Here is a 26,751-nt window from a genome sequence, read left to right as displayed (position 1 = left end):
GATACGTTTCCAAATACTAACTTAGATACACATGTTCTTATGCTATGAGACATAAACTCCAGAATAGTGTGGCTCCTAGTCCATTTCATTCACTGCTGTAAGCTCAGAGCCTAGAACAGAGCGTGGTGACTGTGACATTAGACACTCAATAAGTATGTGTGGAAGCAAAGGCACTGCAGAGCCCTGGTTTTGCCAGTCTGGTTTTCCAAATAACCACAAGGTGGCAGGCTTGTTCAAAAAAAAACAGTATCGCTTACTTGGCTAATTTCTACTGTGTAATAAGTAATAAGCCCAGTATGACTTTTAAGTGAATTTTTTTTTTTCTAGATGGAATCTCGCTCTGCCGCCAGGCTGGACTGAAGTGGCGCAATCTCGGCTCACTGAAACCTCTGCCTCCTGGGTTCAAGCGATTCTCCTGCCTCAGCCTCCCGAGTATCTGGGACTACAGGCACGTGCCACCACGCCCAGCTAATTTTTGTATTTTCAGTAGAGACGGGGTTTCACCAAGTTGGCCAGGATGGTCTTGATCTCTTGACCTTGTGATCCACCCGCCTTGGCCTCCTAAAGTCCTGGGATTACAGGTGTGAGCCACCGCGCCCGGCCAGGATTAGTTCTTTGTTCATCCCAAATGTTTACTTGCTGTCCACATGTGGCAAAAACAGCTTCTTTCCAGTGATGATCAGTCCCAGTGTCCGCCGCCTTCTTAATACCATATGCAAAAGGACTTCCCCTTCTCCATAGCCTGAGCCCTCCAATTCCCACTGCTTCACAGTCCTGTCATCACCAACAGTAAAAAAAAAAGAACTCCCAGCCGGGCGCGGTGGCTCACGCCTGTAATCCCAGCACTTTGGGAGGCGAAGGCAGGCAGATCACGAGCTCAGAAGATCGAGACCCTCCTGGCTAACACGGTTAAACCCCATCTGTGCTAAAAATACAAAAAATTAGCCGGGCGTGGTGGCGGGCGCCTGTAGTCCCAGCTACTCGGGATGGTGAGGCAGGAGAATGGCATGAACCCGGGAGGCAGAGCTTGCAGTGAGCCGAGATCGCGCCACTGCCCTCCAGCCTGGGCGACAGAGCGAGACTCCGTCTCAAAAAAAAAATTAAAAAATAAGAAAAGTCCCACAAAAGTGAGGACATATTCCTCGTACAAAGCCTTCATGTGCTTGTATTGTACGGACACATTTCCGTTGAGTCAGGTTCCAGATTCTAACCTCTCCATCACATGGCCCAGAAAGGACAGGAGCCAGGCTCCTTGGATGCTTTGCCAAGCAATTGACTCCGTCTCAGTGACCATTCAGGGAAAAAGGAATGGTTTTGCAAATACTCTTTCCAGTTTGACAGCATTTAAAGCTCTTAAGTATTCTCGTGGGACCGCAGAAGGATGTAGGGTAGGATCATAGTTTCTGGGAAGTCTGTAAATCCAACTTGCTTTCACAGACATAGTTATCCGGGTTCCAGCTCAGCATCTTCACCTTCCTCTTGGTTGTTCTTCCCGCCAAACTCCACGAGCTTTTCATTCCGGGTTCCTATTTTCTCGTAGAAATGATTTCCCCTGAAAATAACAATACTTACTGCCTCTCAGCTATTTCTTACATTTGGCAAATTTCAAAGTCACATGAGAAATGTAAAACACTAGAGAATCCCCCATATGAAACAGGATCTTCTCTGAGATCACCTAAGGTGTCTGGACTCTTGATTTTAGAATCTGAATTTCATTTGTATAAGTCAGATAAGATTCCATCGGCTGTTTTTGTTTTGCTCTTTTTTTGTTTTTTGTTTTGTTTTGTTTTGTTTTTGTTTTTTTAGACACGGTCTCACTCTGTTGCCAGGCTGGAGTGCAGTGGTGCGATCTCGGCTCACTGCAACCTCCGCCTCCCGGGGTTCAAGTGACTCTCCTGCCTCAGCCTCCTGAGTAGCTGAGACTACAGGCATGCGCCACCACGCCTGGCTAACTTTTGTAATTTTTGGTAGAGACAGAGTTTCACCATGTTGTCCAGGCAGGTCTCCTGACCTCAACCAATCCGCCAGCCTCAGCCTCCCAAAGTGCTGGGATTACAGGCGTGAGCCACCGCACCCAGCCTTAGATTGGCTCTTTTGAAAAGAAATCTCTTGGTGTTTTTCCTTATAGAGAATTTCTTAATATTTTTTTCCCCTAACTACACCCTGGGATATTGAAAATTCAGGTGAAAATTAATTTTTGTTCTTTTTTTAAAATTGGCATATAGGCCGGGGGGTGGTGGCTCACGCCTATATGCCGGGCTCCCAAAGTGGCTCAGCACTTTTGAAGGCTGAGGCGGATGGATCACCTGAGGTCAGGAGTTCAAGACCAGACTGGCCAATATGGTGAAACCCCATCTCTACTAAAAATACAAAAATCAGCTGGGTGTGGTGGTGGGCGCCTATAATCCTAGCTACTCGGGGGGCTGAGGCATGAGAATCGCTTGAACCCAGGAGGCGGAGGTTGCAGTGAGCTGAGACTGCACCACTGCACTGCAGCCTGGATGACAGAGCTAGACTCTGACTCAAAAAAAAAAGTGATATATAGGGTTTGATTCTGATGCTTCTGTGTGATTATGTCCCTGACACTGTATTTTTGTTCTGTTTTGCTTTGCTTGCATTTGAATTAGATAAAATCTATATAGTCTTTTAGGTGTTCAAATCAATTGCTTCCTTTATAGAGTTTGAGAATTGGACGCCATCCTTACCCTGCTTCATTTTCCTCACCAGTAGAGTGGGAGAATAGCAGTATCTATCTGTGGGGGGTTGTATTACCCAAAACATTTGTTGCCCCTCCCTGGTGGAGGACTGTGCTTTCCCCATCCACTGATGTCGCACGTGGCCATGGGATTTGAGATGCCCTTCCAAGTAGTAGGATAAAACCTCCCTGGCCCATTGAGGTCAGGAGGGACCCTGTGACTTGCTTTGGCCATTGAATTGCGGGGAGATGTGATGTGTTTCACGTCTGAACAGAAGTTCAAGAACTAGCTCCTGGCTTGCCATCACTCCTTTCCTTTTGCCAATCTCCACCCACGTACTGCACTTGCTTCCATGACACAGCCCCATGACGGACACAGCATGTGGGCAAGAAGTAAACATGAATGGCTATGAGCCTCTGAGATCTGGGGACTATTTTTTAACTGAGGCATTACTTAGTCCAAGTTAACTGATACAATATATGGTGACTGTGAGAATAAGTGAGCTCATATCTGTAAAATCCTTAGCCCCATGTGTGGTATATCTTAAGCAACGAATACATATTATTAATATCCTTGATCACTATTCATTCATTCAATTTATCTGCCATATTGAGGATAAAAGCCCATGTAAAACTATCTAATTTCCCTTACAAAGTGTTGGCATAATTCAGAGGTTTAAAATGAGATTTAGAGTCCAATAAAGAGGTTACGATATCCTCTCCATGGAAAGCAGTGAGAAGTGCAGAGGACAAAGTGCCAATTCATGGGACGCATGTGCTCCAGAATATGTCTCGGGCCACTAGCAGTAATTTCCCTGGCACTGCAACTCTGCCTTCGTGGCCTTTTATAGTTCAGAAGGTACACATTTCTTTGACTGCTCAAAACAACCAGTAAGAAGAAATCACTCAACCTAAGATACTCTTAAATTTTGATTCAATTATATTGAATGATTATCTTCTTCCACTTATGATAGTGAGTTCTTGGCACCTAGGAAAGGCAAATGCACACACCCCTATCTGTGCTAGGGAAGGGTAAAAGAGCCAGGCCTATTTGGTGCCAAATTAGAATTATTTTGATATCTCCTTGACGTAGCTGAATGTCAAAAATGCAGATGCATTCTAAGGTCCCAAAGAATGCAAATGTACTTTCAAATTGATGTCAACTTAGTGCTTTTCATACAGTTTTGAATATTTGCATGTTAACAAAAACGTCCTGAGTGATGTCGATTCTGAACTGCAGTTCCCACCGATTCTTTCCACCCAGATCAAGCACCACAGACTCCACCCATTCAGATAATTCACAGCAATATTCCTTCATTTGGGCCCTTGAGTGAAGAAGAAAGCAGTTTACACTGTAATTCTTTCACTGGAGGGTCTGAAAGCCTGTCACCTACAGAAATCCTCCAAGGCCCAGGACTTAGAGGCAGGGGTTCCCTCCAAATCATTCAAGAGGCAAGCACCTCCAAGCTCCCTGATTCCCACCCTTGTCTGGAAACACGTCTGGAGAAACTGACTCCAAGTGGCGCCAGTCCATTTGTTTGTTACTGATAAGCACAGAGGAGGGAGATTGAGGCGCAGACCTGAAAATGGGGAAATTAACCTTAGTCAGCCAACTGATGTGAGCGTGCCTATTCCATTTTCCACAATCTGATCCCAGAAGTCTGTAACCAGGAAAATACCCACCAATAGGATACTGGAGGCTTCTCTGGAGACCAGGTTCCCTAATGAAGAGGCCAGCTGGCTCTCTAGCCAAAATGAGTTTTGCACCTACTGGGAAACCCACTTTTTCACAAGCTCTGCCTAAACTTGCAAATTGCTTTTATGTATTTTAGTCTTAATTATAAAAGGACAGCCAAGGATTGCCAGGTATTTAAGAAAACTTGCAGTTGGGTGCGGGGACTCACGCCTGTAATCCTAGTACTTTGGGAGGCCAAGGCAGGTGGACCACTTGAGGTCAGGAGTTCGAAACCAACCTGACCAATATGGCAAAACCCCGTCTCTACTAAACACACACACACACACACACACACACACAAAATTAGCGGGGCATGGTGGCAGGCGCCTATAAGGCTGAGGCAGGAAAATGGCTTGAACCCAAGAGGTGGAGGTTGCAGTGAGCCAAGATTGCACCATTGCACTCCAGCCTGGGCAACAAGAGTGAAACTCCATCTCAAAAAAAAAAAAAAAAAGAAAGGAAAACTTGCAACCTGAGCTAAAGAAGTCTGGCGGGAAGGACTCCAAAGGAAATAAATGATACAGGAACTGGAGATATATATACATAATATCAATACCCTCAGAGCTATTAAAGAAGAAAGTATCCTCATAAAATAAGGACAAGAAAACATGAAACAAGTTCAGAAAGCAAGAGAAATTCCTTGTAAATTAACAATGTGATAACCAAGATATAAATTTCAGTAGAGGATTAGAATACAATATGGAAGAAATGCTAGAAAGGAAAATGGAAATATCAAGAAATAGAAAACAGGAGTGAAAAGAAGAGGCAGAGATTCAAAACAAGAGGACCAACATTTCTGAAATTCCAGAAAAAGAACAGAAGAGAAGAAATTATCAAAGAGATTGTGGCAAACTTTTCCCAGAACTGAGGATCACAAGTCTCTGAATTAAAAAGGCACACTCTGTGCCAAGCCCAATGAATGGATAAAAAGATCATAAGAAAGCACACCATCTTGAAATCTCAGGACCCTGGAGATAAAGAAAAGATACAGAAGACTTCCAGAGAGGAAACAAACAAATGGAATCAGGAATCAGAATCGCCATACTAGATGTAAAAAGATAAAGACTTTCAAAATTCTAAAGGAAAATTGCTCTCAATCTAGATTTTTTTTTTTTTTTTTTTTTTTTTGGATACAGGGTCTTGCTCTGCCACCCAGCCTGGAGAGCAGTGGCATGATCATGGCTCACTGCAGCCTCGACTCTCCCAGGCTTAGATGATCCTCCCCCCTCAGCCTCCTGAGTAGCTGGGACCATAGCATACCACCATGCCTGAATAATATTTTGTACTTTTTGTAGAGATGGGGTTTTGCTATGTTGCCCATGCTGGTCTCAAACTCTTACACTCAAACAATCTGCACACTTCAGTCTCCCAAAGTGCTAGGATTACAGGGATAAGCCATTGCACCTGGCCAGTCTAGTATTTTATACCCAACCAATCTATCCATCCAAAGAAAGGATAGAATAGACATATTCAGACTTTTAAAGACTGTCAGAATGAGGGTCAAAGCCAAGGAGAAGAGAGACATAGAATCAAAAAGGAGGGTGTCCAACACAAGGGAGCATCAGAAGGAAGTCCCAGAATAACAACAGCACAGCCAATCCAGACAAGAGCTGGTCCAGGTCAGATCAATTAAACCAAAAGATTATGATGCATTTGAGAATTTGGAAACTAATACTGATAAGACACTTGGAAATAAGAAGTAATTACACTTTCAGAGACAACATAACACATAAGAAAAGGTGGCAACTTCAGGAAAAACAAAAGTTTGTAAAAAGGAATCAGTTCATATACCTTACTTGGCTCAGTGGTAAACCATATTTATATAGTCATAACAATGTAAATCCTGACTAGTAATTTAACGACAAATTACAACATATTGGGAAAATGCAAGGCTGAAAAAGCAGGGAAGGGGAGATGAGAGGGAGAGCTATCAGAACACCCTATGCTTATATCGCATAACAGAAATTCAGTAAACAATGTCTACATGTGACAAATCAAAAATTAGAAAAAGAGCAGTAAAATATAGAGGAACTTGCCAGGAAAACCAACTAAGTATTGGAAGGCCATACCCCTAAGGAAAGCAAAAAGAAAGATGGGAAGGAATGAGTAGGGAATGGTGTTTTCCATTATAAGCTCTTTTGTACTGATAACGTTTTAAATTACATATACATATTACCTTGATTTTTTAAGTTAATTTTTTAAAAAAGAAATAGAAAACATAGTTCATCATCAAGGAATTACCAGTCTAGCTGGGGAGATACGACACCAGCATGTAAAAAGAGAATAAGAATAATACAAGTTTAAGTTTTAAGGACAAAAAAAGAACACAATTCACCAGGCAGTTTGACTAATTGCCAAAAAAAATAATTCCAGAGTCAGAGAGAGAAGAGCTCGTTGCTGCCTTGAGGTTACAGGGGAAGACTTTGTGGAGTGGGAAGATCTGCCCTGGGTTTCCTTGGGAAGGCGGAACTTTACTTACACAAGGCAAAGTCAGGCCAAAGAATTCTTAGACGCAAACACAACACATGCTGAGAGGGAGGACAGTGAGCAATCCGTTTGGACTGAATTGCTAATTGCTTTTGTCCAATTTGGGTCCTACAGGAGCTGTTCAACCATCCAACCAGGAAGGGTCGATGGAGTCCAGGCTCCAAAAGGTCTTAGAAGTCAGGTTAAAAAGTTTTTGAGTATTCCCCAAAGAGATGCAGGTCCACACTGAAGGTGCACAAAATGACAGACAGCAAGAGCACGTTGGGCCTTCTGTTTTGTCAACATTAATTATAGCAATTGACATTATATCTTCATTCAGCCTGTATGTAAGATGGTCAGTGAGTGTATGAATCTATCCCAAGGTGGTGTGCGTGACGGGAGCGAGGATAAGTTTATACACACACTGACCATCTCACAAACAGGCTTTCCCACCCCTTACTTCCCATGTATTGTCCTGTTTCGCAGTACACGTGGCTCATGTGTTAGCTTAATTAACCCTCAAAAAATGGACAAGTGGCTTAAAAAGACTCCTGGAAATAAATTACAGATTGAACTTAATATTAGTACTAATAGAGCAAGAACAGACAAGCAACAGGAAATCTGCAGAGCCGACTCACCTATGTCTCAGCCTGAGCTAAAAGCAACATGGGCCAGGTGCAGTGGCTCACGACCAAAATCCCAACACTTTGGGAGGCCGAGGTGGGCAAATCACCTGAGGTCAGGAGTTCAAGACCAGCCTGGCCAACATGGTGAAACCCTGTCTCTACTAAAAGTACAAAAATTAGCTGGGCATAGTGGCCCACACCTGTAGTCCCAGCTACTCGGGAGGCTGAGGCAGGAGAATCGCTTGATCCTGGGAGGCAGAGGTTGCAGTGAGCCGAGATCACACCACTGCACTCCAGCCTAGATGACAGAGCGAGACTCCATCTCAAAAAAAAGCAACAGTGATCACCTCACCTCTAACAATACGCTGGAAAAAAAATTAAATTACCAGGAAGATGCATTGTAATGAGATTTGTATCCACTGCTATTAAAGAGAAAACCCACCCTAGGTGTAAAATGTGCCTTGAAAGGGTAGCTGATGATAGGTCTTAGCGCCATGACTAGAGATATTTGGAAATACTTCCCATTTCAGCTTAAACTCATTTCCCAAAACTTTCTATTGTGATGTGTTTTATCAAGTATGTATGATTAGTATAATAGCATTTGTGTATTATTTATATGGCATGTCACTTTTTTTTCCCACTGAATGTATGCAGAATCGAAAGAGTTTTGAGGTCATTGCTGTAGACTTGGGGAATTTCACAAGGTTTGGGGACAACAGAACGCTCTGCTCAAAATTCTGCTGAAGGGAAAATAGTTATATGGGGATGGGTTCCACGAAGATTTACAATAGTGCTAGAATGAAGTAATAATGCACTAAATGAGATTAATCAATTCACCTTTGAATTGAAATGATGGAATAGATTTGAGAAATACTGCAAAGGATTAAGGAATGAGACAGGGTAGCTGGTTTAATAAGGGAGGGCATTTGTCATACTGCCTGCTAACTATAGCTATCAACAACATAAAGCATAGTTAATACCGGCTTTATGGGCAGGTCATCTTACTCATCCAAGTATATATAATTCTACTTAAAACCCTATTTTCAAGGTTACCAAGGATTATGTACCTAGGAGCACTTTCTTAATTCTTTTAGCCTAAAGAAATAATTTAAAGTTGTAAAAGTTCAGACCCTTCCATTTTTAAGGAGCTTTTACACTAATTAGATGTTTAAGTATAAACACATGAACACTAGTTAACACTTCTATGGTGTTCACTATGTCCCATGTGTCATTCTAAAAACTTTACATATATCACTTCACTTAATCCTCACCAAATAACCCTGCAATTTGGTACAATTATATTGTACCCATTTCACAAATATGGAAATCAAGGCAGAGAAAATAAATAACTTGCTCACAGCCAATTGATAAAGCTGGATTCCCACCCAGCAAGCCCAGCTCCCAACCACACACTAATTGTGACAACAGTACAATGAGTGTAAATGCTCAAAAACACCCTCACGTGACTCACATTTCCTTCTGAGATGTCAAACTCTTCAATTCTATAAGTTTTCTAGGCTTTTGCTTCAAAATGTATCAATTAGAAATAAACCAATTTCTTAGGCCAGGCGCCGTGGCTCATGCCTGTAATCCCAGCACTTTGGGAGGCCAAGTTGGGTGGATCACGAGGTCAAGAGTTCAAGACCAGCCTGGCCAACATGATGAAACCCCACCTCTACTAAAAATACAAAAATTAGCCGGGTGTGGTGGTGGATGCCTGTAATCCCAGCTACTTGGGAGGCTGAGGCAGAGAATTGCTTGAACCTGGGAGGAGGAAGTTGCAGTGAGCCGAGATCATGCCACTGCACTCCAGCCTGGGCGGCAGAGCAAGACTCCATCTCAAAAAAAAAAAAAAAAAAAAACAGAAAGAAACCAATTTTTTTTTTGTTGATTGGTAAAGAGACAGAAGTCTCCAACATAGCCCATAAGTTGCCCATAAGCTGGCCATATAAAATGTAATGAATAGAATATGCAAAATGACCAAGATCTGTGACCCCAAAGGCAGAGAAGAAGCTATTAAATAAGGGAATGACTGACTAGCACCTTATAGGAAATGTATTGAACACAGCCCTGGCATGTTGGAGACTTAGCATATTAGTTTTCTGTGGCTCCCATAACCAAGTAATACAAGCTTGATGGCTTAAAATAACAGAAATGTACTCTTCTGGCGTCCAAAATCAAGGTGTTGGCAGGCTGCACTGCCTCTAGAGGCTCTAGGGCAGGATCCATCTCTTGCCTCTTCTAGCTTCTGGTAGCTGCCAGCATTTCCAGCAGTTGTCAGCATTCGTTGGCTTGTGGTGGCCACATTGCTCCAATCTCTGCCGTGTCTTCATATCACCCTCTCCTTGGCTTGTCTCTCCTATGCGTGTCTCCCATAAAGACACTTGTCATTGGATTTAGGGCCCGCCAGGATAACCCATGGTGATTTCCTCATCTCAAGATCCTTAATTATATCTGCAAAGAGCCTTCTTCCAAATAAAGTACCATCCATATGTTCCAGGGGTTAGGATCTGGACGTATCTTTTGAGAGGGTGTCACTTAACCCACTATAAAGACATTATCCAAAACCAACAAACTAAGTTAAATAGCCCAGATATAAAACAATTCAAAGGTTAGAAGACAAAACAAAGCAAATTGAAAGGTACACAGTAAATACATACAAGTAAGACGATGTGACGTGTAGACTTTTAACACACAGAGTAGGATAATGCATGTATTGTGTAAATGCTCAGTATCAACTGGGCATTAGAATATTGTGCATATTTGGAATGACACATGAAAATGGAATTATGCTTGAAAAAACATCAAACAATTAAATATTAAGATAAGGCCTTAGGCCAGGCATAGTGGCTCATGCCTGTAATCCCAGCACTTTGGGAGCTGAGGCGGGCGGATCACCTGAGGTCAGGAGTTCGAGACCAGCCTGGTCAACTTGGTAAAACCCCATTTCTACTAAAAATACAAAAATTAGCTGGTTGTGGTGGCGCACGCCTGTAATCTCAGCTACTCGGAAAGCTGAGGCAGGAGAATTTCTTGAACCCGGGAGGCGGAGGCTGCAGTGAACTGAGATCACACCACTGCACTCCAGCCTGGTCGAGACAGAGCGAGACTCCATCTCAAAAAAAAAAAAAAAAAAAAAAAAAAAAGATAAGGCCTTTAAATAAAGGATTAAAAGTTCAAGCATGATTAAAAGAAAGCTTGGAAAATAAAATAATGGATCCAAGCCCATCAGGTGAAGGCGCTCAGGAAAGGAAATGTTGACTTTTCCTCAGCTCAAATGTGGGGCAGGGGGGATATTCACCAGTTAGCACTGCATCTCAGGGGGTGGGGTTAGGTGGGAAATTATGCATCCCTGTATTTCAAGGGAGTGGGATTAGGTGCGAGATGAATCACTGTATCATCTCAGGGAGTGGGTTAAGTGTGATTTACATCAGGAGACCTGAACCCGGCCCGCCCATCATCTGAGATGTGCATCCCTGTGCGAGGCTGCAGTGTTAGGTTCCCTGTGTAAGGCTGCAGTGTTAGGCTGCGTGGGTCAGATAGAGTAGTGTCGGTCTCTCCAGAAACAACTTGAGTGAACCCCTGCATGTCCTTTGTGTCATCAAGGCTGATTATCAACTTTGTAATATAAGGAAATTCAAACCAAGTCATGTTAGACCCGTTCTGGCTCTAAATGGCTATCTAAGGGTCTATAAATTTCCTCTGTGAGAGTGAGCATTCCTGAGCATTAGAATGCAATGTCTAGGGAGGCTTTGGAATCCTTCCTCTGAGGTTCTGAACATACGGGCACATTCCCATCTGTCTGGAATAATCATGTACTGTTCTGCACAAAATTAGGAGGATTAACCAGCAGACCCCTTGGGTCCTGTGGTTCCCAAGAGCCTCTCAGCTCTGACCTTCTCACGTGTTCTCTACCACAAACCGAGGCCAGCAGGGAACGAGTTCTGTAACTCAAGAGGGCAAAAGCTCTCCTAAAGCAACAATGTAGTCCTGAGTCCTGATTTCAAAGAAATAACTTAGTGGAGGCACTCTCCAAGTCACACCAGAGAACGTCAAAGTTCAGGGACAAAGTTCTCATATCAGTCCCCAAATGCCAGTCCACAGACAACTGCCAGTTCACAAGAAACTATTCTTTGCTTCGTGGTGAAATGAAAGAAAAGTAAGGACAGATGTGCGTGTGTATGTGTATATACATGCATATTCACATTATACCTTTTACATAAAATATTTTCTCCTGGGAAGAAATGTCCTTGCTTTTAAAATTATGTCTTGTCTTTTGTGTTAAAGCATTCTTTCTTTTATGAACCAGTGATGGTAGGTGATGGTAGCTGATGGTAGCTGTTTCATTATTCCTTTTTTTTTTTTTTTTCAGACGGAGTCTTGCTCCATCGCCCAGGCTGGAGTGCAGTGGCGCAATCCCGGCTCATTGCAACCTCTGCCTCCTGGGTTCAAGCGATTCTCCTGCCTCAGCCTCCTGAATAGCTGGAATTACAGCTGTGCACCACCACGCCCAGCTAATTTTTGTACTTTTAGTAGAGGCGGGGTTTTGGCATGTTGGCCAGGCTAGTCTCAAACTACTGACCTCAGGTGATCCACCCGCCTCGGCCTCCCAAAGTGCCAGGATTACAGGCATGAGCCACTGCACCCAGCCCGTTAGTAGTTTATTTTTAACGCTATTACAGGGAAAAAAGTTTGTTGTTTTTTAAATTGGGCATCTTTCTTTAATCCCCCATTAAAAGCTTTCTTTATTCCTTGGCTTCTTTGTAAAATCTCGAAGTCTGGGAATCTCTGTCATAGCTTTACAGTCACTTTCAAGGAGCTTTCAGAACCCTCCAAAGCTGGGCCCCACGTAAGACAATCCTGGCTCGAATCACTTGACTTTGCCACCCTGCAGACTCCTGAAGCTACAACACCAGGAAGTGAGGTGAGGACTTTCACCTGAACCCCAATTACATCCACAGTGAGAGGGAACATGCGGGCGGCTGGAGAGCCTATCTTCTCTGAATCATCTGGGGATAAAGTCACAGGCAGGAAAGCAACAAGCAGGTGGCCTTTATCTGGGGATTGGCCATTCCTCCCCACATACTTGCCACAAGCCCTCTAGAATGGAATAGATGTCAAACTCTTGCTGAATGAGTTCATATTCCTACCCTGCTTTTAAATGTTTAAGTCATAATCATCTTAGTTTTAAAGCCTCATTATTGCGGTATTTTTAGCATTCTAGTTTTCCAGATACATATATCATGTTACCAACCACAGTTTAAAAGCTCTTATGGCAACTTACTCATGCGCGCATTTTATTCTCTTTAAATTCTCTCCTAAGATGAGGAAAAGGGGGGTGTAGAAAATTTCCTCTGAACAATCAGAGGATTGTACATAGACACAATTTGGTCATGTATTGAAGTGAACCTTAGCTGGGGAAAAATTAAAACCTAACAAGAAACAAAAGAGGAACCTACTGTAGAAAACAATGAGTTTGTTCAAATGCATTCTTAACATTTCTGTGAGTACTAATCAACCATGAGAAACTTGTATAGCATAAAAGTGTCCACTAGGAGGCACTGCAGTCAAAGCACACAGAAATAGACCCAAAACCCTTAATTTATGTAAACTCACGTGTTTTTATTAATATTGTCAATAGTGAACTGTTTTTGCAAAATGAGAGGTCACTATTTTTCAGACCTGATTAGGAAAAATTGCACAAGGCACTTCTTGCTGAAGAAAAAAAATCCATTTTCTGGCAGCAGGAGTTAGCTGACTCGTGGCAATCCAGAGTTGGCCTCTTACTAAGGTCAATATGCATGTGCTCAGGAAACTTGAACCCACACAAGAATGTGAACCAAGACGGTCAGGCCAGAGATAACATGCGGGTCTTGTAAATGTCAAACTTTGCTTCCTCTGCTCAGCTGAAAACATCCTCTTCTCTTTCCCTTATCCTCCTCCCACCCTACCACTCCTGATGATATCCATAAACAAAAAAATTTTAATGACTCGTAGAAGCTTTAAAATAGGAGGACATTTAATTTCATAACGCATCTGCGGTCACAAGCTGACTGCAGCTGAGTGAAGATACAACCTTTAGCAGTGCTCCCTGACTACAGGTCAAGTGGATGCTCTCCTTGTGACTGTAGCAGATGGAGGAGGAAAGGTAAAGGTGAATGCAAGAGGCTAGAAACATACATTGTGATCCCTTTTTTAAAGCCTTTGATTTTTTAAGATTAAACTAACCCATTTTTTTAAGTATATGATTTGTTCATTAAACTACAAATACATGTCTTGGATTGCAAGCTGAAGAGCAACTGAGAGCTAGGAGAGGCATGATAAGACCCAGGAAAGAAACTACAGCAAGGCGCCCTCATGTCGCTTAGAATACAATGCAGGTCCCTGTAGCTCCTGCTCCCTGAGCCTCCTGGCACGCCTGTTAAACAACCACTGCCTTATTCACGCAGAGAACTTGCCATGCTGGGGTCGCCCAGGGAAAGTGAAGTTTTGGTCAGTGTTTTGGGTTGAATTGTATGTCTTCTCCGAAAAAATATGTTGAAGTCCTAACCCCTCTTTACATGCCAATGTGACATTATTGGAAGGAGGGTCTTTGCAGTTGTCCTCAAGTTAAACTTCGGCCACTAGGTGGCGCTCATCCAATGTGACTGCTGTCTTTATAAGGAGAGGAGATTTGAACACTGAGATGCAGAGACAGAACGCGGTGGGACGACAGAGGGAGAGAGGGGGGTGATGCGTCCACTAGCCAAGGAACACCAAGGACTGTTAGCAGCTGGGAGAGATGGAAGGAGCTCCGGAAGAAACCAGGCCTGCCCACACCTTGATTTCAGACTCCTGTTCTCCAGAATTGGAGAAAATAGATCTCTTGTTTTAGGTCACCCAGTTTGTAGTCCTTCATTATGGCAGCCCTAGGAAACTCATGACCAAATCTGGAAAAAGTAGGCCGGGCACGGAGGTTCACGCCTGTAATCCCAGCACTTTGGAAGGCCAAGGTGGGTGGATCACCTGAGGTCAGGAGTTCGAGACCAGCCTGGGCAACATGGCAAAACCCCGTCTCTACTAAAAATACAGAAATTAGCTGGGTGTGGTGGCGGGCGCCTGTAATCCCAGCTACTCAGAGCCTGAGACAGGAGAATCACTTGAACCCAGGAGACGGAGGTGGCAGTGAGCCAAGATCGTGCCACTGCACTCCAGCCTGCACAACAGAGCAAAACTCCATCTCAAAAAAAAAAAAAAAATGGAAAAAGTAGAATGGAATTCTGGGAATGATAATCAAGAGAGGTTCAACTGCTGAAGCACGAAGTTTTAAGGCTTTTTTTTTCTGTGTCTTCTCCTTTTCTTCCCTATTTTCCGGTCTACTCAACCCCGATATTCCAATTTCTCAATATGAAATATTATTTTTAGTTATCTTTAAACGCACAGCTGTTGGTGATTTCTGGAGACATGCCCATTTTTTCCAGTCCATTTTGTAGATCTCCTCAAATACCTAAAAACTTCACAGTCCAGTTGGCATTTTTAAAGCACTTTGCTCCTTTGAGTTGCTCAAATTATTTGACATAAATGTTCCCTTATTCATGTCAGTTTAAAGGAAAAGATAAGTACAGATCTTATTTTAAACCTCAGGAAATATACAGCAAAGTTAAGCATCTTATAGTAAATCACGTTGCCTTTCAGCGAGTGAGCAGAGCCTGGTGGACGGACTCCCAACTGCCTGTATAGTCTTTTTAAAGTATTATACAATTATATTTTATTCTTTATTACCCACCTACAAGACAAGAATGAATAAATCCTCCAAAATGGTGGTCACTCAAGAGTTGCCTTTTGGGGACCTTTCTCTTTTTTTTGATAGAAATGCCTCTGATATTTTGAGAATTCATAAAATCTCAAACAAAATGGAGCGAGTACCTTGTCATGTTCTAATTCTCCAGTAACCACAAGAATCTTCCTTCCTCTCCATTCCATTCTGAGAAAGAGCCACTTCACCTCTCAGAATGATGGGAAAGATAAGGCACAAGCCAAGCCAAATCTTCTCCCCCAAATTCCCTGGCTCTACACGTCCCTGGGACAGGAAGGTCTCAGCTCGCTGACTTGGGCATCCTCTGTGTGCCACAGGTGGGGGATCACCATAGAGAGCCCTCGGTCGGACTCCCTCTGCCCCTGGCATTCTGCCTCCCAAAGTTAAGTGTCATCTTAAAGATGGAGCCACACCAGGGAAAATTCCCTTATCCTTGCTGTGTTTCAGCAGAAGTGAAACAGACTGGAATTTCCAAAGCTACTAAAGAAAGGAGAAAGGGAAATCAAAGAACATCAAGAAAATTTAACAAGCCTAAAACTCAGAAGCACAGAAACATGGCTGAGCGTGTCCACCGCTCACAGGCCCTGTGCCACCCCTCCTCCAAGCTCACGGGCTTGGTTCACATGATCAAGACCACCCTGTGGCTTCCTTGCTTCCCAGCTACAGAGTCATGGCCACTGAAAAGTGCCACCTCACCTCCCTGCCAAGTCTGTGTCCTAGACAACTAACTCCCTGGATCAGGGGCATTACTGAACTAAGACCAAATCTCCAGATGAGAGAGAGATTATCAGATTCTTCACATGCGATCCAGCTTGTGGGAATGCGGGTGGGGTATAGGAAGTGGTTCAGCCCCATATGGATCCTTATAATGGAAGAATTATGAAAAATATAACCACAGAATAAACATGACAGTCACACAAGATGAGTCAGGTACACACCACAAACTGTGTAGGTCTCAGTGAAAGTAGACTATCTGGCTGAGGTTGGAGGGTCCTAGGCTAGTGCTACGGGGAGACAAGGACATGGTAGACAGGAAGGAGGTGACCCAGGCAGGGAGAAGGAGCAGATAGATTAGGAGGTTGTTGCCAGAAAGTGGGGCAGGCCTGTGGTAGAAATGCATGCCCCAGAGTTAAGGAAGCTGGGAACTGTCAGGAGCAGGTTGTGTGGTGCCAAAGAACACTGACATTTTTCAAATGGTGGGGGATTTGAAAAGGCAAGTGAGCAGCCCAAATGTGATCATAGTTAACGTCGACTGAGTTACACCAGAAATGTGCTAGACACTTCATATGGATCTTCTCATGTAATCCTCACAACAACCCCATGCTATAGAAGTACTGCCGTCCACATTTTATAGAAGAGTTAACAAGCCTTCAAAAAAGTAACTTGACCAAAGTCTCACAGACTAGTGAGTACAAAACCGAAATTAGAACCCACATCATTGGATATTGAAGCCGGAGCACTTAACGCTATATATGCGCACACACACGAGCACACGTGCACGCACACGTGCACACACACACATACACACACACACATCTTAAATATCAAGGACTCTACAGAGCAGGGGTATTTTCCAAAAGGAGGAAGAGTCATAGATTGCAAGTGATCATGGAGTATTGGCGTAAATGGGTCCCCAACCCAGTAGATGAAATGTGAAAAGGGGGAAGCCGGGATACTCTGGAGAGAGCAGAACTTCAGCTAGGGTGCGCATTCTCTGAGACTGAGGACACAGAAGGAAGTATCCACTGAAGAACAGGAATCCCAGACAGCCCAATGGAAAGGGTTGCCATGAGAGTAAAAGAGGAGTCAGGAGTCCATGGGAAAGCCCCACAGAGCAGCAGGGAGCAAGGGCATGCAAAGGAGACAGATTACCAGCCTGGCCAGAGCTTGGGTGATCCTTGGAGATGACAGGATGGTAGGGCAGATGGGACAGACTCCAGGGGGCCGCAAGTGTGCTGCTGTTTCCCCGTCCTCTGAGCTGCCAGGGCCTGGAGCACTCAGCCTGTGGTCAGTTGGTCGCCGGCCCTGGTGGAAGGGGAATCTTTGGGGCCACAGATAGTGGAGGAGGAAGGAGCTCTGCCTGGCCCCCTGGCAGCTGGGAGCTGGGAGCTGCCAGACCTTGAAGGAGAATTAGTTGGTCTAGGAAGCTTACCCTGGCATGACTAGGGAGGTAAAATAATCTGCCTAATGTACATTCCTCTTTTCCCCTGGAAAATCTGAAATAGAGAGCAGCCTGCTCTAAGCATGGTTGTACATTCTGCTTATTTGAAGAAGCCAGGCAAGGAGTTCCCCACAAGCAGCAAGACATGTAGGAACTGTAACGTGGAAGAACCTAAAACTATATTTTTGGTTCTCAGGTAAAGTAGGTCATGTATGGCAGCCATGTGACTAATGTCAGAATCACTGCTTTCTGCCTATTTTTCTAGTCCTCCAACCGTTTATTTATATTTGGAAACTATCTCAACCAGCCACTAACTGTATGTCATGGGCTTTCTCAACCGTCTTGTACACCAGCCATCTCTGACTCCTGCCAGCAGGGATCATGTTGAAACAGTTTGGGAGTGTGGTTTTTAGGTTCCAGCAAAATACTTCTTAAAAAAAAAAAAAAGCCTCCTAGGAAAATGAGTTTGAACTGTATGTAATTTCTGCTTCTGTTGAGTTTTCTGCAATGGTTCTTTCAAGCTAAGAACAGCCCAATACTCAAGCGAGGATCATTTCTCTTGGCCACTGATCCATTTTTCCTTTTTTATTATGGAAAGTTTCAAACATGCAAAAATATAGAGAAAAGAACAATGATGACCTGTACACCCCTCACCTTGCCGCAACATTCGACAATTGTCAACTCATTTTGGCCACCATATTCAGTGGATGATGAAGGAAGGAAGGAAAGGAAGAAAGGAGAGAGGGAGGGAAAGAGGGGAAAGAAAGGAAGGGAAGACAAAAATAAAAGAAGAAAAGAGAAAAGAAAAGAAAAGGGCTAGGCCTGGTGGCTCCTATGTATAATCCCAGAGCTTTGGGAGGCCAAGGCTGGAGGATTGCTTAAGACCAGGAGTTTGAGACCCACCTGGGCAACATAGTGAGATCCTATCTTTATAAAAATTTTTTATGTTAGCCAGGCTTGCTGGAAGGTGTCTGCATTCCCAGGAAGCTGAGGCAGAAGGATCACTTGAGCTCAGTAGTTCAAGGCTACAGTGAGCCATGATTGTGCCACTGCACTCCAGCCTGTGCAACAGAGCAAGACCCCACCTTTAAAAAAATAAATAAAAAGAAGAAAGAAAAGAAGAATAAGTTAAAATGTGTTGCACAAGATTTGGAGCATGTTCCTCCATATTTCCTCTTACTTTGGAACTCAAGTTAAAACAGTTCTCAGTACAAATTACATACAATTGGTTTTATGAAATTCTTCCTAGATTCAAAATTTCAATTAGATTTCAGGGAAATCACTAGAAGCCTAGTTAAAAAGGAGTCTGTCTCATTGCAACTTACTATTATGAATGTGACTGTAAAACAAAACTGATTATTGATGCCAAGCTCACATTTTACTTGTTGGGGATTTTAACCACATGGCAGCAACTTCCAGTAAGAAGCTTAAAAATTTCCCAGCTAAAGAAATGCTGGTGGTGGCAGGAGTGGTGGGAGACGGGGGAGGGGTGGTGGAAATAACATTTGATTTCTGAAAACTCCAGACAAGCCATGGAAGTTTACATTTCAGATTGTTTAAAGAAAAGTGCATCATGGGAGATCTTAGGGTGAATCAATGGAGATAATTCTAGAGGAAGTCAGAACTGGCCTGTTCTTGAGGTGGGAGGAGACATTGGTTTATCTGTTGAGAATTTCTCAAGTATAGCGTGACTTTCTTCCTCCTTTCCTTTCTTTTCCGTTCTTTTTTTTCCTTTCTTTTTTCTTTTATTTCCTTTTTTTTTTTTTTTTTTTTTAATGAGACAGGGTCTTGCTCTGTGGCCCAAGCTGGAGTGCAGTGGTGCAATCACAGCTCACTTTAACCTCTAACCCCTAGATTCAAGCAATCCTCCCACCTCGGCCTGCCAAAGCATTGGGATTAGAGGTATGAGCCACTGCGCCTGGCCTTTCTTTCTTTTTTGAAGCACAAGGACCAGTGGAGAAAAAGTGAATTTATATCATGAGTATTAACAATCATACAGTCACTTGCCAGGGTCTTCTGTTTTCTGTTAGCAGGTGAAAAGTGAAAGGAGAAAATGCAGGCAGTGGCAGCCGATTTTAGCTCCCCATCTAGCCATGTCATTTATAACCAGAGTCATTTGAAACCTCCCATTGCGGGATTCAATGAACTCAAATGACTGCCCCAAAATACTGACCACGTCTACATAACAGCAAACATAGGTTTGGCATGACATTGATCAGGGCCTGAAATCTTGGCCAGCGGCTTCCCGACTTCCACGTGGAATCCTCCTTAAAACAAATGCTTAGGGCAGATGTTTGTCTGAAATGAATGCAGACACACAGGCGGATGCACAGCTTTCTCACACACACACACACACACACCCACATTAGTAATTACATAAGGTAATTACTTTGCACCAACCTAATATGAGTTTTTTCAAGGACCCTGGAAGTAGTCTGCATCCACCTAGGACAAACCTTCTCTTCCTTGACCATCTACAAAAGTGCACGGGAAAAGACCACTGTCTGGAGACTTAGTGGCCTGAGTTTGTTCTCTGTTCCATCAGGAATGGACAGGTACTTTAAGTTCTGGGGCCTCATTTTCTTCTGCCCTGACATAAGGGAAAAAAGTAGGCCAGATGATTTTTGAAGTTCTAAAGGCAGCTCCAGCCGGGTGCAGTGGCACTCACCTGTAGTCTCAGCTACTCAGGAAGTTGAGATGGGAGAATGGCTTGAGCCAAGGAGTTCAAGACCAGCCTGGGCAACATAGCAAGATCCCATCTTAAAAAATAATAATAATAATAAATAAAGGCAGCTCTACAAGCACAGTGAACTATTAACACAGAGTAGGGCTTGGCGTCTGCCAGTGTGGATTGAAATCTTTGCTCCATGCTTCTAAACAGTGCAACCATGAGACTGTTGCTTGCTTTCTTTTGAAAACGATAAAGAATACCTATGTCACAGATTCCTGTAAGAATTGAATTCTTTAAACATATATAAAGCATCTGACTTAAGAAATATGTCATAATGCTAGTACCCTCCTTCTTAAAATGCTATGATTTCAAACATCAAGGAATCTGGGAAGTTTGCCTTTTTGGAGCACAACTAGACAATTCTGTCCAAAATATTTCCCACTATAACTTATTACTCATTGGAGGATCAGTATAAACATTTAGGTCAATACCACTGAAAAATACTCATGAGACAGAAGTATTGCATAGTCCATGTCTTATGTGAGATATTTTAGATACTTTTTCTTTCTTGTTTCTTCCTTATTTTTTCCTTATTCACTTCCAAATAAAAGAAAGGTATAAGTTGAACCAAGTTGAGAAAGTGAAGTCTTTACAAAGTTTATATTGCTAATTAAATTAAGGTTTTTAGCAGATCAAGGACGAATAGCTGAGTTCAACAAAATATTTCCTTTGATCTCAAGGCTTTTTACTTCAAAGACTAACCAGCGGGATCATGCAGGGGGCTGGCAGTGAACCCCTCCTCTCCCCACAATGAGGGGGCTTGGGTGAAAAGAACTTTGGAGAATCCACTTCAGAGCAGTGTGAACACCTGCAGTGGTTGGTCCTGCCCAGGCCAGCCTCTGGGGTGAGACATGTCAGCGGAAAATAAATGAGTCAGAAGATGTGAGTTTGAGGCTTGAGTCTACCCGTTACTCACATCCCATGAAAAAGTTGCTTGACATCAGTCTTCATGTTCTCCCATGAAAAATGGGACAATGATGCCTAACTTATTTGTCTCCTAGCTTTGATCTAAAGATAATGCTGGCTCTTTGAATATAGCAAATACTGAAATAAGATTAAGAAATAAAACCCCAGAGTGATACTCAAACAGTTTGCATTTTCTTCCAGGAAGAGTTTTTCAGCCTGGCGTGGTGGCTCACACCTGTAATCCCAGCACTTTGGGAGGCCAAGGTGAGTGAATCTCCTGAGTTCAGGAGTTCAAGGCCAGCCTGGACAACATGGTGAAACCGTCTCTACCCAAAATACAAAAAATTAGCCCAGCATGGTGGTGTGTGCCTGAGGTCCCAGCTACTCGGGAAGCTGAAGTGGGAGGATTGCTCAAGCCTGGGAGGTGGAGGTTGCAGTGAGTCGAGGTCGTGCCACTGCACTCCAACCTGGGTGACAGAGTGAGACTCCATCTAAAAAAAAAATAGTTTTTCTACTTCTCTCTCCAGTGCTGTACACAGTAGGTGCTCAATATTTCTTTGTTGAGTGAGTGAAGGGGCAAATGAAGACTGTGGTGAGAGGTGGGCCCTGGGACCCTCTGCCATGTAGATTTGTTCTTCCTTCCTCTTAGATGACCCCATTCATCGTGCCATTGCAGCCTAGGCCCTACTTAATCCTGGGATGTGGTAAGAAGAGAACGCCAGGGTCGGGGAGGGAGAAGGGCAGTGGGAAGCTGGGAGAAAGAAAGGGCCACCCTGGCGCAAGGAAGGAAGAAGGACGGTTATGGGCAATTCCTGCAACTGCCCTCTAATGAGAGCCTGCTGTGTCCCCAATATAAAGTGTGTCACACCACCTTGGACAGGTGGTCCTCAGCGTTATTCCATTGAACCCATGTTTGCATCTGATTGAAAGGATTAAGCATTTATATGTTTCCAAATTTTCATAAGCCTGGAAAGATGAACACCCTACTTGGTGAAATCCAATGGCGAGTCATCCTAAATTCTTAGTCACCAAAGAGAGAATTTGGGGCACTGGGGAAACCCAGACGCTGACTACGCAATGAGAACATAATGAATAATGAGGGCTGAAACATTACAGGTATGTGCCACAGGCTTCTAGAGATGGCTTTCAAGCTTCCCTGTGACTTTGAACTTCTCATTCTCACAATGCTTTTGGACAGACTTTATTTTTCAGAATCAGAGATAACGGGCAGATGCTAATGGGCTGAGCTTTGCTGTGAGCTCTGGGGTGGGGCCTAGATGGGATCCTCCTGTGGGTGTCAGCACTGGGTGTTACCACGTCAGCGTTCCCCTGCCTTAGATGGATTGTTTCTCTTTGACGTTGGGATGGTTTCCTAACCCACGTCTGCAGTGAATCAGCCCCTGATAGAGGAATGATTCAGTGGACTCCTGTAGTCGGGTACCCAGGTTGAAGGAGACACATTCAAAGACACTGGTATCACTCAGGATGTCTGAGGCTGCAACTCACAGGAGATCCAGCTGATAGTGACTTCAAACATAACCATGTGTGTTTATCTCATGCAGCAGGAAGTCTAGGGATTTATGGCTCCAGGGTTACACAGCTTCTCTGGAATTCTGGTTCTAGAAAGGCAGTATGTCACAACAGTGAGGAGTACAGCCTCTGCCATGGGTCTCCCTGAGTTCAAATCCCAGCTTTGGTGCTTCTTGTCTGTGAAACTTCCCACAAATTACTGAACTTCGCTGAGCCTCGGCTCCCTCCTCTGTCAATTGGAGAGAACAGTAGTTGTCCTTCCAGAGTTGCTGTTAGAATTAAATTAGTTAATATCTATAAACTGCTTAAGGAGAGACTGGCATGTATTAAGCACTATGAGTGTTAGTTCTTGTCATCTTTATTTATTTTTATCATCCCCTCATTGTCACAAGATCGTTCCCAAAGCAGCAGGCTTTCACACCACACGACAGTATGCAGGACAGGAAGGAAAGTGCTGGAGGGGACAAGGCAAGGGATAAGAATGACACAGGCCTCTCTTGGGCATCTCTCTCCTTTAGCAGGGAGAAAACTCCTTCCCAGACCTCATGCCTTTCTCAGAGCCTACAGGTCAGGACTGGGCCACACAGTGATGTCTGAGGCAATACCTGGCAAAGGAGAGTGAAATCATCATGGTTTGGAGCCTCTGTGCTATCTCCCGTGGTAGCTCCTAATAACCACATAAAGCAATTTAGATTTAAATTAAAATTAAATAAAATTTAAAATTTAGGCCGGGCGTGGTGGCTCACGCCTGTAATCCTGGCACTTTTGGAGGCTGAGGTGGGTGGATCCCCTGAGGTCAGGCGTTTGAAACCAGCCTAGCCAACTTGGTGAAACTCCGTCTCTACTAAAAATACAAAAATCAGCCAGGTCTGGTGGTGCATGCCAGTAATCGCAGCTACTCAGGAGGCTGAGGCAGGAGAATCGCCTGAACCCAGAAGACAGAGGTTGCAGTGAGCCAAGATAGCGCCACTGTACTCCAGCCTGGGTGACAGAGCGAGGCTCCAGCTCGAAACAAAATAAAAATAATTAAATTAAATTAAATTAAATTCAGTTGCCCAGTCACTTGAGCCACATTTCAGGTGCTCAGTAACCACGTGGGGCCAGTGGTCTCCATAATGGACAGTGCAGCCCTAGACCGTTTCCATCATCCAGGAAGGTCTGTCAGACAGTGCTGGAATCAGAGCCCACTCCCGCAGCTGGATGAGGGTAAACCTTCCCTGAGCACATTTTCTCATGGTGTCTGAACAAAATCAGGGCTGTGTTCACAAGGAAGGAGGAGGAGTGGCTGCTGGGTTGGTAATCAACAATGAAGGAGACACAGGAGGGAAGACCAGCATAGACGCTGGTGAGATCAGAACTGTGGGTGTGAGTGTGGCCATTGGGTGAGAAGCTCAGCAGGGTTTAAGGAGCCTCATTAGATTTCATGTTGACCATCCTGGCCTCTCTGTCCGCGAGGCACCCTGACACACACAGTCTAGCTGTTTTATTGTGGTGGAAATTGGAATTATAAGAATTTGTTGGCTGGGCGCGGTGGCTCACACCTGTCATCCCAGCCCTTTGGAAGGCTGAGGCAGGCGGATCACAAGGTCAGGAGTTCAAGACCATCCTGGCTAACATGGTGAAACCCCGTCTCTACTAAAAATACAAAAAAAATTAGCTGGGCGTGGTGGTGGGCGCCTGTAGTCCCAGCTACTTGGGAGGCGGAGACAGGAGAATCACTGGAACCCAGGAGGCAGAGGTTGCAGTGAGCCAAGATGGTGCCACTGCACTCCAGCCTGACAACAGAGACTCCATCTCAAAATAATAATAATAATAATAATTTGTTAGATGCCCTCACCCCTCTTAAACAAAGTAGTTAAGTAGTTTCTGCTACTAAAGTGCAAAAATGAGCCTCCACCCTGCCTACATCCTGGACCCCAACCCAGCCTGAGAATAAGACTCTGTAAATCTCCCTGTTGATGTTGCCTATTTTTACTATTGACATACAAAATGAGAGAGTAAAAACCATTTTCCACTATACATACTCACCGTGAAGCACAATATACAACACACCAAAGCCCCTGGGGTAGTACACAGATCTGACTGCAAAATGCAGCCTCACGCACTTCCCTAGGGGCCCCGGGGAGCAGTAAAGGTCTTAGAGCCCCTCCTAGTATTTGAGAAGGTGTTGGTTGGCTGTGGCAAACATGCATTTGGAGCAATAATAATAACAACCAATGTGCAGTTATGCTTAACTATATGTCAGGCATTTGCTCAAGGTCAGGAAGTGGTGGAGTTGAATTTGCACCCAGAAATTCTAGTGCCAAAGTCCAGGTTCTGCTGTGCTCTCTTCTCAGGACTCGAGGTGAGCATGCTCTTTGGGGATCCACAGGCTCAATGCTTATTGAAGCACAGATGGCTGGGCCAGCGGTGTGCTGGAGCCAGCTCCTCCTCTCAGCTCAGGAGAGCTTCTTGTGCACACCTCTTCCCAACTCCGCAGTCAATAACAGCAGGTTCATATCTTACAATCAGTCATAGTGTAAGAATTTAAACCACTGGAATCAGCAACTTGAGGGTTTGTGTTTTCTGGAGAGCTGGTTGTTAAATCTTTACTGGCACATCACCTGCTACTTCCTATCCCTAGAGTCCCTGATTCAGTAACTCTTGGACGGGACCTGATGATTTACATTTCTAACAAGTTCCCAGGGAATGCTGATTCTGCTAGTCCAGAAAGGACACTTTAAGAAACACTTGGAAGACGTGAAATCTGTTGTCTGATTTCAGGGCTCTCTGATTTCAGACAACACACAACAGATTCTTTCCTCCCGCCAAAAGCATAAGTCATCATTGACAAGAGGAATGCTAGCACTTTCATCTAAGAATGTTGACTGTAGATGACCCTATATCAAATCAATACTAATAAGAGCTAATGTTTACAGAATATTGACTGTACACCAGCTGCTTACTGTCCTGCTCATTTCATGCATTAATTCATTTAATCCAAGAACCATAGACAGCAGGTTCTACTAGTACAGTTGGGGCTGAAGCACAGACCAGTCAAATAACTTGCCCAAGATTATACGGGGAGTAAGCGGAGTTGTGAAGATGTGAATATGAGCAATCTGGCTCCAGAGCCCATGGATTTAACTGCTGCACCACAAATCACAGGAGACCTGACTGTAGTTCTGCCAAATATAAAAATCTAGTAACCGTTCCCTTAAAAGAAGACTAAGAACTTCAAAGAAAACACACAAAAAGGAGAATTTAAATTTCCAAGTCTCTCCCAACTGGACTTCCAAGACGTAAAAGAAAATGGATAAAGAAGTTTTCAATCTTCTCATTGTCCTTCAGCATCATCAACATGCAGGAGACCACACCATCAGTTGATGAGAAAGCCAGTCTCCTAGTCAGAGGTCAGCAAATGTTTTCCATAAAGGACAAGATAGTAAACATTTCTGGCTTTGCAGGCTGTACAGCCTTCATTGCAACAACTCCACTCTGCCTTTGCAGTTTGAAAGCAGCTATAGACCATACATGAGAATGAGAATGAGCACAGCTATATCTAATAAAGCTTTTTTTTTTTTTTTTTTTACAAAAGCAGGCATTGGCCTTATTCAGCTGTGGGCTGTAACTTGATGACCTGTCCTGGATTCATCTAGAAGTTGCTCCTTATTTCTAAATAACCAGCAGAAACTATACCTCCATTAAATGTAGGTAGAACTTTACAACAAATACATAAATAAACACCCAGCCGGGAGCGGTGGCTCACCCCTGTAATCCCAGCACTTTGGGATGCCGAGGTGGGTGGATCACCTGAGGTCAGGAATTTGAGACCAGCCTGGCCAACACGGTGAAGCCCGTCTCTACTAAAAATACAAAAATTAGCCTGGTGTGCTGGCGTGTGCCTGTAATCCCAGCTACTTGGGAGGCTGAGGCAGGAGAGTCACTGGAACCCAGAAGGCGGAGGCTGCAGTGAGCCGAGATCGTGCCACTGCACTCCAGTCTGGGCGACAGAGTGAGACTTCGTCTCAGAAAAAAAAAAAACCACACCCATATATCTAGGTAATCACTTAACAGATACCAGTGGGAACCTCCCCAGAAGACAGTCCATCTCTGTGGTTCTAATC

General features: G+C 43.9%; 1 long non-coding RNA gene and 1 pseudogene across 1 annotated transcript in view, besides 2 other annotated features; one reads left to right on the top strand and one right to left on the bottom strand.

The window, feature by feature from the left end:
• BASP1-AS1 (BASP1 antisense RNA 1) overlaps positions 1–26,751 on the top strand; it is an 87,395-nt gene that overhangs the window by 13,674 nt on the left and 46,970 nt on the right. The gene's annotated exons all lie outside the window — the stretch shown is intronic.
• Positions 193–272: a silencer, noted in NCBI's record as "silent region_15948". NCBI's record gives its function as "represses an Ori minimal core promoter by ATAC-STARR-seq in GM12878 lymphoblastoid cells {active_cell/tissue: GM12878}" and the evidence as "EXISTENCE:reporter gene assay evidence [ECO:0000049][PMID:35858748]".
• Positions 604–1,527, bottom strand: DCAF13P2 (DDB1 and CUL4 associated factor 13 pseudogene 2; annotated as a pseudogene).
• Positions 13,175–13,469: a silencer, noted in NCBI's record as "tiled region #14227; K562 Repressive non-DNase unmatched - State 13:Ctcf". NCBI's record gives its function as "represses a minimal TATA promoter and a strong SV40 promoter by Sharpr-MPRA in K562 cells {active_cell/tissue: K562}" and the evidence as "EXISTENCE:reporter gene assay evidence [ECO:0000049][PMID:27701403]".

Source organism: Homo sapiens, chromosome 5 (genome assembly GCF_000001405.40).
Source record: "Homo sapiens chromosome 5, GRCh38.p14 Primary Assembly".
Lineage (NCBI taxonomy): Eukaryota > Metazoa > Chordata > Mammalia > Primates > Hominidae > Homo > Homo sapiens.
This window is presented reverse-complemented; position numbering and strand designations above follow the sequence as displayed.